The following is a 13,761-nucleotide window of genomic DNA, read 5'->3' on the forward strand; positions in this document are numbered from 1 at the left end:
GGGTTTAAAAGTGTGGGTTAAAGCTGTGATAAGCCAGATCATCACGGGAAAGACAGTTAACAAAGAAAAAGCTGATGGAGAAAAAAGGAAAAAACAGTTAGTTAGGTTCCTTTGAGGATTTCAGATACTACAAACATTTTCTTAGTTGTTTCTCTGAATGCTTCCCCATTGAAACTGACTGCTTGTCAGTTAGCACCCTCCTTTTCTTGAGATTTGGTAGGTTTGGGGTGGCTCAGAAATTCTGAGACCAAAATACAACATTAAACTGAAAAGCCTGCTACCAAAGTTAATATCCTTAATGGGGAAGACACTTGAGATTAGTACCTAGGTGATTCTGAGATGTTAAAAAGTGTGTAATAATTACCCATGTACTTGTTAAACACGCAGATTTCAAGACCCCAACTCCAAATGCATTAGTCCTAGGATGGGGCCTGAGTCAAGATGCACTTTACAAGCATTTTATGTGATGCAAGATCACACTGAGAAATGAGAAACACCGCTCAACGTGATTCCTAATTTTTACTCACAAGGTGGGGAGGAAACAAATGCAGGCTTAGAACAACAATTTTAATGTGCTTTTGATTGGCTGAATTTGTCACACTATAAAAAACCCAACGGAGCTCTTGGACTAGCAATAAGAACTGTGGAAGAAGGGCACAAGAACCCACGTTTATGGAGAGATGAACGTAAGATTCATGCCATTCGGTTCAGCTGAGTGTACACAGTTCCATTACAGGAGATTTCCTTATCTATAAATGATGATTTCTTTGGGGAACAGGCTGGAATTGACCCAGATCATGGCAGTCTAGAATCGGGCTTAAAAGTTAAGGGGTTTGGAGTGGGGAGGGAGAATAGGGAGTGACTTTAATGGGCATAGAGTCTCCTTTGAGGGTGATGAAAATGTTTTGGGAAGAGAGGTGATGGTTGCACACCATTGTGAATGTACTTCATGCCATTGAATTATACACTTTAAAATGGTTAATTTTATGTTACGTGAACTTCACCTCAATTAAAAAAAAAGCTAAGACTCGTGTTGGCTGCCTGGATGGGAATTTTTGCCACACTACTTACTGTCTTATTTTATTTTTATTTTTGAGAGAGTATCTCACTCTGTTGCCCAGGCTGGAGTGCAGTGGCGCAATCATAGCTCACTGCAGCCTTGACTTCTGGGGCTCAAGTAATCCTCCCACCTCAGCCTCCCGAGTTGCTGGGACTACAGGCATGTGCCATCATGCTTGGCTAATTTTTGGGGTATTTTTTGTAGACAAAGGGTTTTGCCATGTTGCCCAGGCTGGTCTCGAACTCCTGGGCTCAAGTGATCCTCCCGCCTTGGCCTCCCAAAGTGCTGGGATTACAGGCATGAGCTACCGAGCCTGGCCTCCACTTACTGTCTTCATATATATATATATAGAAAAATAAATATATATATATATTTATTATACTTTAAGTTCTAGGGTACCTGTGCACAACGTGCAGGTTTCTTATGTATGTATACATGTGCCATGTTGGTGTGCTGCACCCATTAACTTGTCATTTACATTAGGTATATCTCCTAATGCTATCCCTCCCCACTTACTGTCTTAATGGGTAAGTCTTAGGGGCAAATTCGTAGCCTCTCTGGCTTCAGTTTTCTCATCCGTAAAATGTGTTTAATAATAATGGTACCTCACAGAGGTGCTAAACAGGATTAAACATGACTGGTGCTCAGCTGGAATACAGAAGTGGTCAAAAAGTATTCATTATTATTATTGGAGCTGTTACTGAAAGCTGTGAGGTCTAAAGATCTTTAAATAAAAATCAGATTTGAGTCCCTCCCTGAACTAGATTTCCTGTCCCTACCAACAGTAGTTCCTTAGACTCTTGAGACAAAATAGTAATAATAACAACCACACAACAAGAGCAAAATATGTTTCATTTCAATATCCCTTTATAGTTGTAAAATGGCTACACCCATCTCATTTGACCCAGTATGCACCAAATATTTTTGATCACAGGGAACAGTCTTACCACACATACGCCCTCTCAGCACTGAGCCTGGTCTGCAGAAGGGGGAAGCCTTTTTTGTTTCTAATGAATTGCTGTCGGCTATAAGTATTTCTGATGCAAGCTGAAAGGAATACATGGGGTCTTTGTTGAGAGTCCTTTTCAGTTTATTTGTGATAGTTTCCAATGTCTGAAGGAGTCGTTGCTGATTTTCCCATTCAAGGGTATCATTTCTTTCATCGGGTAATGGCACACTAGCTGAGATAAAAACAAAATAAAACACAACACAAACACATGGTGTTTCAGAAAGTCATTTGTAGTTAATTTTTTACCAAACAGAAATACTTAAAATCTTTTAGTACTAATAAGTGGTCTATAGAAAAAAAATAAAAATCTTTCAGGAAAAATTAATTCAAAATAAATTTAACCACTATTTAGTGAACAATTAAGTTAAGTACATGGATAAGACTAAGAACTATACAATTTGTTTCAGTCCTCTCAGATGCTAAATCTATATCACCTTTTTTGGGAGTTCTTTATTATAACATAATAAATTCCTGTAAATTCTTGCATTTTAAAAGCGCACCTTAATCATGCCAAGATGAGAACGAAGTAGGGTGCTTTTCGCCGTGAGACCTACAAAAGACATCTATGATACTGACAGCAAAAGATGACAAGGCTTAGTTAACTGTGCTTTCCCTAATTCTCAATTCCAGAGTCATTTCCTAATAATGATAACAAATGGAAGATTTGAGAAGCAGGTTTCCAACCAAGAATTTTCCATTATATTGCTTTTTCAAATAGACAGTTTATCCTTACCTGTGATGTTAAAAATTAACTTAATTTTATAGTCAGATAATGGGGCACTTCTTTTAATCCGTGAGGACTTGGCATTGCCGATGCTTGTGGCTGTTTCTTGCACAGTGTCCAGGAAGTCATCGTAAGAGTAATCCAGCCTATTAGCTGCACCCCAGCCACCTGGTCCTGGATAGTCGGGGCAGAGACACAAATGATCACACAGTTGCTTTTTCGTCAGCGTTCAGGTTCTAATGTTAAGCCACAAGTGAAATTACACTTGACCATTTCCTCAAATGCCCATAACATACTGCATACAGGGTTTGGTCTACAATGTTATATATATTGTAATTTTTGATCACTTCATATTTAATACAGATTACCAATGAATAATACTAAAAGAAGAAAGAAAAGTCTCTATGGAACTACTAGGGCATTTATACCACTCTATCTTTGAGTTAATAGTTAATTATTTTAGCTTTAGAGGTAAATTTTAGAGGTAAATAAGAGCTGGGTGCAAAATTCTAGTCAATTTCTATTTCTTTGCAAGGCTTTCTCCAATCCTTTTTTCTTTTTTTAAAATTGACCTTAAAACTATTAATATACATAAATAGATCTCCTCTCATGAAGATTACTCAAGATGCTTTCATCATATTTTAAAGGTAAGGGTAGTTTTCAAAGGCAGCACATAAGTTAAATGATTCTATCATACAACCACACTGGAGGCAACAAGGGTACATGGAATTCTCTAGATGCCCTTGATATCACTGTGATTAACTGCATGGGTTCAGATTGTGGCTTCTCGATGTAGGCTGCTGTATAATCTTAGTCAAGTTACTTTCATCTTTCTGAGCCTCAGTTTCTTGATTTATAAATTGAGATGATTCTTACCTGATAGATTTGTCTGTGGATTAAATGAGACAAAATATATAAGCTGTCAAACTCAGTATTTGACTTATTATAAAACTATATGAATATTATTCTGGCCATTCTATTGTTATGTACTTTAGACAATAATTTATATTTATATAGGCCTCTCTACTTAAGTAAATTGTTTTGTGAACTTTTTGGCTTTATTTATGCTTTGGCTATTAAAATTAACTGGGATTAATATCATCTTTTTACTTAAACATTTTCTCCACAAGCATTAAGTAGCTGTTATAAAAAAAATGAGCAAAGAGAAATGTATTAAAAATTACTACAATGCTACCACATAGAAATAATCACCATGAACATTTTAGGCAAGCTTTTTTCCCACTGTGAATGTATAAATATACACACAGATATACATTTATGCATATGTGCATACATACATATACATACACACACACAAACCTGGAATAAAAACAAACAACACACTTTTAACAAAACAAGATTATGCTATGTATGTATTATTTAGTAATCTTTTTCAAATTTTATGGCATTTCTATGTGAAATGGCCACATAATACTCTCTTGTATGGTACAACACAAACAACCTACAGTTTCTATTTTTAGACTTTTAGGTTATTTCAAATGTTTAGAATATCCTTGCACATACGGTATTTAATCAAATCTAAGATACCATCGGTTAGAAGATACATCCCAATTTCAGGTCTAAAGGAAAAATATGCATCTCAAAATTTATGAAATGTAGTACATATTTGCACAATGGCATGATTTTTACCTTGAGAAATATTCTTAGAAATGAAATTTCTGGGTCTAAGTGCATGGGCATTTAAAATCCTTTAGATACATATTGTCAAATGCCCTCTTAATTTCTTTCTATACAATGTATGAATATGATTTTTTCCCCTACATTCTTGCCAACTGTGGGTATTATAATTCTTGTTTGTTAATCTGACAGGTCAAAAATTGCATTCCACTTTAGTTATTTTATTTTTTGAGATGGAGTTTTGCTCTTTTTGCCCAGGCTAGAGTACAATGGCATGATCTCGGCCCACTGCCACTTCCCCCTCCCGGGTTCAAGTGACTCTCCTGCCTCAGCCTCCCGAGTAGCTGGGATTACAAGCACGTGCCACCATGCTCTGCTAATTTTGTATTTTTAGTAGAGATGGGGTTTTACCATGTTGGCCAAGTTGGTCTCTAACTCCTGACCTCAGGTGATCTGCCCACCTCAGCCTCCCAACGTGCTGGGATTACAGGTGTGAGCCATCTTGCCTGGCCTAGTTTTAATTTTATATTACATGATTATTATGAAGTCAACTTGATTTTATTATATTTACTGGTTGCTTATTTTTCATACATTATGACCTTCCAAGGCATGGTTATAAATGTTACACCGATCTTGTGACTTTCTACTGGGAATACATTTGGGGAGCAATGCTTGTTTTTAGGATCACAGGATCACATGTGCCACCTGCCCATGCTTTTTTCTCAAGAATTGCCATTTGGACCCTTATTAGGTGACAAATATCGCTCATCTCATAGACTTGTGATGACAACTGACTCTCTCTAGGTGTAACCTTGTGCCCCCAAAACCTACCGCAACAATCTGGGAGGGGAAACCTGGATCGTGTTTAACAGAAGAGGGTTGATTATTCTAGATATGTTACTGACAATGCCACCTTACTTTTTCCTATCTAAAACCTTAATTTCCAAAATGTTCACTAAAGTGCTGTACATAATAGTAAACAACCGAAAATAACCCAAAATCTACCAATAGGAAACTATTTCTATAAATTATGGTAAACTGATCGATGGGATAATATTCAAACTGTACTGAAGTAGGATATTTAGTGAATAAAAATGTCCTCAATACAATGTTAACTAAGAATTTGTGTTCAAAATAGCATCAGTATATACACAATAAGCAGTTTTATATATATAATAATATGTATATATCATAGTATGGTATATATACAGTATATATAGTATGGTATATATATGTGTATCTACATACATATATACTTATAAATATATACATGTATTAACAGTCTTATTTCTGGGGTTGTGGATTATCTTGATTTCATTTTTTGTTTTTAAGCATTTTAAAAATTGTATAATAAACATATGCACAAATGATATTTAAAAAAATTTAAAAATCAAAAGCAACAGTCAACATCACTCTTAATGCTAAATCACCAAAAATATTACAGACATGACTAGTATTCGAAATGGAAAAGATGTCTGCCGTAATGCGAATTAATACTTACCATCTCATAACCTTCTAAACACATGACTTGAACTTATTCATTTGATGCTTAAAATGGTCACATGAGGTGAATACTCTTATATACCCATTTTATAGGTGAGGAAACTGAGGCACAGAGTGTGTTGATAGCTTGCTCAAGATCACACAGCTAGTAGGTAGTGAGGCTAGGATTTAGACTTAAGTAGTTGGTTGTAGAGTCCACGTGTTTAACCATTACACTACTTTGATAACAATATCATTATTATTATTATCTTTTTTTTTTTTTTGATACAAAGTCTCACTTTGTTGCCCAGGCTGGAGTGCAGTGGCATAATCATGGCTCACTGCAGCCTCGAACTCCTGGGCTCAAGGGATCCTCCCACCTCATCCCCCTAAGTAGCTGGGACTACAGGTGTGTGCCACCATGCCTGGCAAAAAATAATCTTAATAAAAATGTTCAGAGTATACATAGAGAAAACATCAAAATTCCACTTAAAGATATATTAGACTCGAATAAATGGAATCTTAACATATTTTTGGTGAGGAATCTGAATATTTTACATGTGTAACTGTTTTATGTTAATGACTTCATTGTAACTTACACTGAATGCCATATAAAAGTTGCTGTTAGGACTTTATTACTATTCTCTTTTAGGATACATCAACATTTGAATTTTACCAGCATATGTGACTTAGTTTTCTTAGTTTTTGTCATTTTTAAGAATCCTGGCAAATAATTTTAAATAATTTATTTGTTACTAAAATTTGATATAACCTTAATGATCTTTCAGCACATTATCAAATTATTTAGCCATCCTAAAATACTTGATGAATAAATTAATAGAAGTTAATGTTTCTAGTTTGCCTCACTTTTCTGGAATTATTCTTATTTTGCAGATTAGTCTTGCCAACTACCGATGCCACAGAATTTAATTACCAATTGCAAAGCCATTTTCATAGTCATAATTATATTCTAGGCAATATTTTTTGGTCAGGTTCTCCTCCAGTCTGCAGTCAATGTCCTCTGCATCACTACAAAATGATGGGACCTGCAAGTAAAAAATGAAGAGGATAAAGTGTAAATCACTTTTCTGCATGCCTTGGATAAACACTTTGCTCCCCTGGCCTTCACGTCTCCATCAGCAGGAGGGAAGGGAGGGCCCCAGAGCTCTGCACATTCCTCAAAGGGATTCTGACCCTCCTCCCCTACAGCCTCTAACTGTCTGTTGGTCACCAGGATTAGTTTCACACCTTTTATCTCTGTTTATGTCACTCACCATGAGAAGCCCAGCGCTCCTGGAATATCTCCTGTCTCTAAACTTTCGCTATATGGCTCTTTGGAACCCTTTCTCTGACCCCATCTCCCACTCCTCTTCCCCAATCCCCCAAGCCTTCCTCTATGCCCTCTGAAGCTCAGTCAGTAATCAGCAAATCTGTTATTTTCTACCTCCTCTCTTTATGTTCTCTTCACCTTTGCCCTAAAACCTTTCCAATTTTCTGGAACATCTCCCAGAAAATATTCTAGAAATACTAGAAATTCCAGAATTCTGGAATTGGGGGCAGGCCTGAAGGTGGAGGAAGGTCCTTCTCACTCTTCGTTGCTGTTTCCAGATCAAACTCCCTCATATCCCCTTAAAGGCTCACAGTTCTGAAGCTCATGCTGTCAACTCTACCACTCACTGACCCTTCTGGTGACAGTCACCTGCAGCATTTCCCCTCTGCGTCACTCCCTCATTCCAAGAACATTTGGTAACTGTCCCTGTTATAGTTCTTGGTGATTTCTATAGTCACCTAGCAAACTCTTCCATCTCCTTGGATTCTCAGTTCCTTTCCCTCTTCTCTCTTGTATTCCAGCCTTACTCTGTCACTCACTCCTGTAGTCATACCCTCAGACCTTGTCATTGTCAGAAACTGCACCTTCTCCTCTTCTCAGGAATCCAACAGTTCCTTGACTTCATCAGAATGTATAATCCATCGACCCTAGTGCCTCTCCTTTAGCCACTCATGTCTTCATGTCCTTGTTTACCCATCTAAGATTCCACGATCCATCACCATGGAATGTCTCCTCCCTTGCATGCCTCTTCCTCAATTTGTTTGCCTGGACAACACTTAACCTTGGTTAAATTAATCGTTCTGCTTCCCCACACCTGTACTACACAGTCAACTAAGGCTTGAGAAAAAATGTAACCCTGCTGGCTGCCAATCTTACTACATTTCTTTAGCATACTTATTCATCCTTTCTTAGAAAATTATTTTACACCACCTCTCTCTTCTGAAGCCTCCAACAACTCCTCCCCATTCTTACTCTCAGATGATCATTTTTTTTACGCCGATCAAAATTGAACTCAGAAAAGAGCCTCCGTTCACACACTTCCATCCCCATGAGTACCCAGTACCTGGACCTATGCCCTTGTATGCTCTGCCTCCTTGACTCTTCTCTTTATCCCACAATCTACTTCCAATGTATCAGCAAGTCCTACTGAATCTACTTTCAGAAGATATAAAAAAAATCCATTCACTTCTCACCACCTCCAGTGCCACCCAAGCCACCATCATCTCTTGCTTTCATTTCCTATGTGGTCTTCTTACTCTCTCCTACCCTCTCCTCCTAGAGCCCAAAGTCATCAGTAAGTTGTTCCCTCAAATGGCTTTCCATTTAATTAGAGTAAAAGGCAAAGATTTATAGTGACTTTCAAGGCTCTCCACAGTCTGATTTCTCTTCTTACCCCCATCTCCTCTTCCACATGTAATCTTTTTGACCATCTATCACTCAGCCTGTCATCTTCTCTACCTTTGCCACTCTGACATCTTTACGGTGGTTCAAACTCTGAAACACACTCCTGCCTCAGGGACTTTGCACTTGCTACTCCCTCTGCCTGGAACGCTCTTCCCCTAGATATGCTCGTGGCTCACTGCCTCATTCTTTCAGGTCTCCTCTCAAACAGGAACCTAGTGAGGCTTTCCCATCTTCTGCTTTATTTTATTCCATAGCATACGCCATCTGACATGCTACATATTTTCCTTGTAATTTGTTTATTGTTGGTCTATTCATTAACATGTAAATTCTATAAGCACAGGGAGTTTTGCCTGTTTATTCAGATCTAAATCCCTAGTGTCTAGAATAGGACATACTTACTAAATATTTATTAAATGAATACATAAGCATTTAACAGCACATCCTATTCCCTTATAGCACCTTTAACCTGCTACAATTTAGTGTCTGATAGACACTGAGTCTAACACACACAAAAATATTTAACATTTTAAAGATTTCTTCACCACTTTGGGGTGGAGTATAATTAGTATGAGTGTATTGTTGCCTTTCGAGTATAGGTCTATAGTAACAGAGGCCTAATGGGCGCAATATTTTCTTGGTTTGCTAGTAACAGTGACAACATTATTTCTCTTTTTGGAATTTGGTTTTATTGAATAGATTTAAATATAACGTTTTTACCAAGTGTTTTTGAATGGACATTCGTTAATATGTTAGGTGTACTTGTAACGTGCTTGGCATACAGTAAGCAGCACAATAAAATGTTAGCAAATAAATAAAGTGCTACCGAGTCTGCAGGGCATACAAATATGTATCTAGCATGGTTCCTGCCTTGAAGATGTTCAATACAGTTACATATATTGCTGTATTTTCTTTTCTTTCTTCTTCTTTTTTTTTTTAGACGGAGTCTTTCTCTGTTGCCCAGGCTGGAGTGCATGGCGCGATCTGGTTCACTGCAACCTCCACCTCCCAGGTTCAAGTGATTCTCCTGCCTCAGCCTCCTGAGTAGCTGGGATTACAGGCACACATCACCATGCCTGGCTAGTTTTTTTGTATTTTTACTAGAGACGGGGTTTCACCATGTTGGCCAGGCTGGTCTCGAACTCCTGATCTCATGATCCACTCTCCTTGGCCTCCCAAAGTGCTGGGATTACAGGCGTGAGCCACCGCGCCTGGTCTGTTTTTTTTATAATTGTTGTAAGAGTCCTTTCTAAACAAAAATGCATCTTTTAAATCTTTTAAATGTACAATTATCTTTTAAGTGTCCAATTATCTTCTTATCATAAACAAAATACCACCTACAATGTTTGGCATTTTTGTCAAACTTTAAATAATAAAGGCATTCTCCAACCATCCAGACCTTAAGCTTCTCTGACTTCCTAAGGATGTTTTTAAAGATTCAAAAATGTTTTAATGCATATTTACTTCTAAGTCATTTTAGAAGTTCAAAATCTATGAATAATTTTAAATATTAGGTACATGTCTGGATCACAAAGAAGAGGGAAATAGGATGAGAAATCGCAGTTGTAAATGACTCAGAAAGGTTATGAAAGCCTTATAAAAGAACACACAATAAATGACCACTATTGATGTACCATTTTTCCCAGGGTCGTCTCAAATGCTTCAGAAAACTTCTTCATCAGATCTGTGTCATCACAACGAGCTGCTTTGTAGAACATCTCAAAGGACTTGAACCCGTGGTTTGCAAAACGTTTTTCTAGAAAATGTTGGACAAAACAGCTTCAGTTGGTTAGTGTTTTTAAAACAAAGATTTGACTTTCTATGAAATAATTGAAACAATGTTTTAATTCTAACATAATTTGTGGGATTGTTATAAAAACAAGAGATGACAGTTAAGGAGAGTTTCTAGGCATTAAATGATCATAATAAACCATGCACCAAGCAGCACTGGACTCAGTTATCCAGTGAAGAGTTTGCTTTTGATATATGATTCTTTATCTTCCATTCATACAAAAAGTGAGTATTTAAGGGAAGAAGATACATAAAAATTGTTTTCATTATATTCCTGGGAATTTTTGAAAAATCCTGGCTGGCTCAAAGTTGTTATATCTTATATAGCACATATAATAATTTTAAAAAATAGGCATTGAAACATTTCTAAATATTATTTTTGTGCAATCATATTCCTTGAAAGTGTAATTGTCATAAAGACAAATTTCTCCCTGGATCAAAAGCTTGCATGGTAGACTTTGCAAAATGCCCCTGAAGAATTCAGGGACAGTCTCCTACTAGCATCCCACCGTCTCAATCTGTGAAAGAGGTGAATGGTATTGTTTCTATTTACTACTGCAGTTTGGGGGGAAAATAGCTCTGTTAAGTGGGTTTCACATTTTTTTCCAAGACACTGGTATTTAAATTCCATTTATGGTAGTGGATCAAAGATTCACTTCAGAGAATATTTATTTACACTAAATGAATACATTAGGTTATTTTTATAACAATGTATATTTAAGATTATAGAATAGTTTAAAATCTAAATCAAATATGAAGAGACTATGATTGATGTATTTTATTCCATCATGTATGTTAGATTTTATTTTAAAGTAGCTCTTCTGCACACTATGAGAGTTTTTTCTCTATTTTTTTTGTGCAACAGGGTCTCATTCTGTCACCCAAGCTGAAGTACAGTGATGTGATCAAAGTTCCCTGCAGTCTGAAACTCCAGGGCTCAAGCGACTTTCCCAACTTAGCCTCCTAAATAACTGGGACCACAGGAGCACACCACCAGGCCCAACTAATTTTTTTTTTTTAATATTTTTGTAGAGATGGTAGGCTGGTCTCGAACTCTTGGGCTCAAGTGATCCACCCGCCTCAGCCTTCCAAAATGCTGGGATTACGGGTATACGTCACCATGCCTGGCCACTATGAGACTTGAAATTCATATTTACAGGTTCAGAATTACATATTGTCAAGTCTCCAGATATTTCTGATAAATAATGAGAGGGCTCAGATGGTTCTGCCTTAAACTGAATCTTGTCCTACAGCAATACAATCTATAATAAGACTTTAGTGACTAATATTTTAAATCCAGGAAAGAGTAATTCTCTTATTCACAAACATTTCAAATTCATGGCACCATTTTCCATTAATTCCTATCGTAAGGCAATTTTCCTCTTTAACACTTAGAAATGTACACACATTCACACACATTAAAGAAGTCTAGAATAAAATTAAAACTTACTGGCACAGTCTGGCCATTCAGTGGTATATGTTGGTTTCCAGACGCCATCTTCATAAGCACAATAATACTTGTCAGTAGACCCTTCTGTGAAATCATAGCCCTCCAAGCAAGTTAATGTACAGTTGACTCCAGTATTATCTGGAGTGCATATAAAATCCCCATTTACAGGTGTGAATGGAATTTCACAGGGAGAACCTGTGTAAAAAAAATTGTACTATTCATATATAGTGGTACAAGAAGCATAAATTAAATTCCAGGAGCTTAAGCAGAATTTTGAAAAGGACTCCTCCTGTCTATCGCTATTTCTAGAAAAGCTTTTACCATATGTCTTTAGTGCAGGAGAAGGACAACACATGCTTTTTGGTTCCTAGATTGACATACATTGAAAAGCTGTACCTACGTGTAATTAGAGGTTGTGCATATTTTTATAAAAAAGTTAAAGTACTTCTGACTTGGAGTTATTATTATTATTATTATTACTACTACTTTGAGACAGAGTCTTGCTCTGTCACCCAGGCTCGAATGCAGTGGTGCTATCTCGACTCACTGCAGCCTCTGCCTCCTGGATTCAAGCAATTCTTGTGCCTTGACCTCCTGAGTAGCTGGGACCACAGTCACATGCCACCATGCCTGGCTAATTTTTTTATTTTTAGTAGAGACAGGGTTTCACTACATTGGCCAGGCTGGTCTCAAACTCCTGATCTCAAGTGATCCACCCGCCTCGGCCTCCCAAAACACTGGGATTACAGGCGTGAGTCACCATGCCCTGCCCTTATTTTTGACATTCCTTTAATAAAAACAAAAACTGGATAACATTGTGCAGCAAATATGTTTTCAGAATCTGTCTTCTCAAACATTTAAAATAGGATAATGTCAATAATACATTGTAACCTTAGAGAAAATGTTAACAAAATGTTAACTAAAGACTGTTCTGGGAGAAAACATTTATATCTATCACAAGGTCAAGGAATGACAATGGAAAACCTAAATAAAACCTGTCAGTCTTCTAACTGTAAAAATCTAATGCTCATAGCCTATTTTCTTTCATAAAACAGAGCACTATAGCAATGACATGTGTCAAATGTCAACTAGAATTCTGGGGACTTATGAAGACAATACCTTTTATGACAATATGGATATCACATGTCCTGTTATTGCCTGAGGGGTCAGTGGCTGTATACTGTACTATAGTCTCCCCTTGAGGGAAAAGGTCTCCTTGTGTATGACTTCTGGTAATGACCAATTCAGCCCCTGGAAAGGAAAGAAGGCAGCCAATTTTTGGGTTGTATTCACAATATTTTTTTTGAAACAGTCTTACTCTGTTGCCCAGGCTGGAGTGCAATGGCATGATCTCGGCTCACTGCAACCTCCACCTCCCAGGCTCAAGCGATTCTCCTGCCTCAGTCTCCCAAGTAGCTGGGATTACAGGCATTTGCCACCACGCCCAGCTAATTTTTGTATTTTTAGTTAGAGACAGGGTTTCACCATGTTGGCCAGGCTGGTCTTGAACTCCTGACCTCAGGTTATCTGCCCACCTTGGCCTCTCAAAGTGCTGAGATTACAGGTGTGAGTCACCGCGCCCAGCCTATAGTCACTTTATTAGTCTCTTATTTAATTTGAAGTTTCATGTCCTACTTATGCAAATCAGTTGGGCATTCCATGTTGCTTAGCCCACTAGTAGAAAATAAAAGATTTAATTTTATGCAGTAACATAGAAATAGTAGATTCAACAACCCCATTAAATTAAGGCTTTTTTTGACAAACAACTGATTTTCTCAAAGTCCTTTGAGATGTCCTACAAAGCAACTAGGCAATAGGTAAGTCTGCTACGACATTGGGACTTAAATTAAGAAATTACTTAATTTGCATTTTTTGT

The 13,761-nt window shown here is 37.3% G+C and overlaps 1 protein-coding gene across 1 annotated transcript in view, besides 1 other annotated feature; it reads right to left on the bottom strand.

The window, feature by feature from the left end:
- The window catches only part of SVEP1 (sushi, von Willebrand factor type A, EGF and pentraxin domain containing 1), a 214,494-nt gene that overhangs the window by 104,109 nt on the left and 96,624 nt on the right, over nucleotides 1-13,761 (bottom strand). Inside the window, exons 11-16 of the mRNA NM_153366.4 lie at nucleotides 13,005-13,136; nucleotides 11,886-12,080; nucleotides 10,279-10,400; nucleotides 6,848-6,959; nucleotides 2,803-2,967; nucleotides 2,008-2,241 (exon numbers count right to left, since the gene is read on the bottom strand). Of these exons, the coding sequence (NP_699197.3) occupies nucleotides 2,008-2,241; nucleotides 2,803-2,967; nucleotides 6,848-6,959; nucleotides 10,279-10,400; nucleotides 11,886-12,080; nucleotides 13,005-13,136 (960 nt within the window). The remainder of the gene's footprint in view (nucleotides 1-2,007; nucleotides 2,242-2,802; nucleotides 2,968-6,847; nucleotides 6,960-10,278; nucleotides 10,401-11,885; nucleotides 12,081-13,004; nucleotides 13,137-13,761) is intronic.
- Nucleotides 1,999-2,168: an enhancer, noted in NCBI's record as "experimental_105151 CRE fragment used in MPRA reporter constructs". NCBI's record gives its function as "activates a minimal promoter by MPRAs in K562 erythroleukemia cells, with activity observed for the introgressed 9:113233720 variant allele {active_cell/tissue: K562}" and the evidence as "EXISTENCE:reporter gene assay evidence [ECO:0000049][PMID:34662402]".

The sequence above is a fragment of the Homo sapiens genome, chromosome 9 (assembly GCF_000001405.40).
Source record: "Homo sapiens chromosome 9, GRCh38.p14 Primary Assembly".
Classification (NCBI taxonomy): domain Eukaryota; kingdom Metazoa; phylum Chordata; class Mammalia; order Primates; family Hominidae; genus Homo; species Homo sapiens.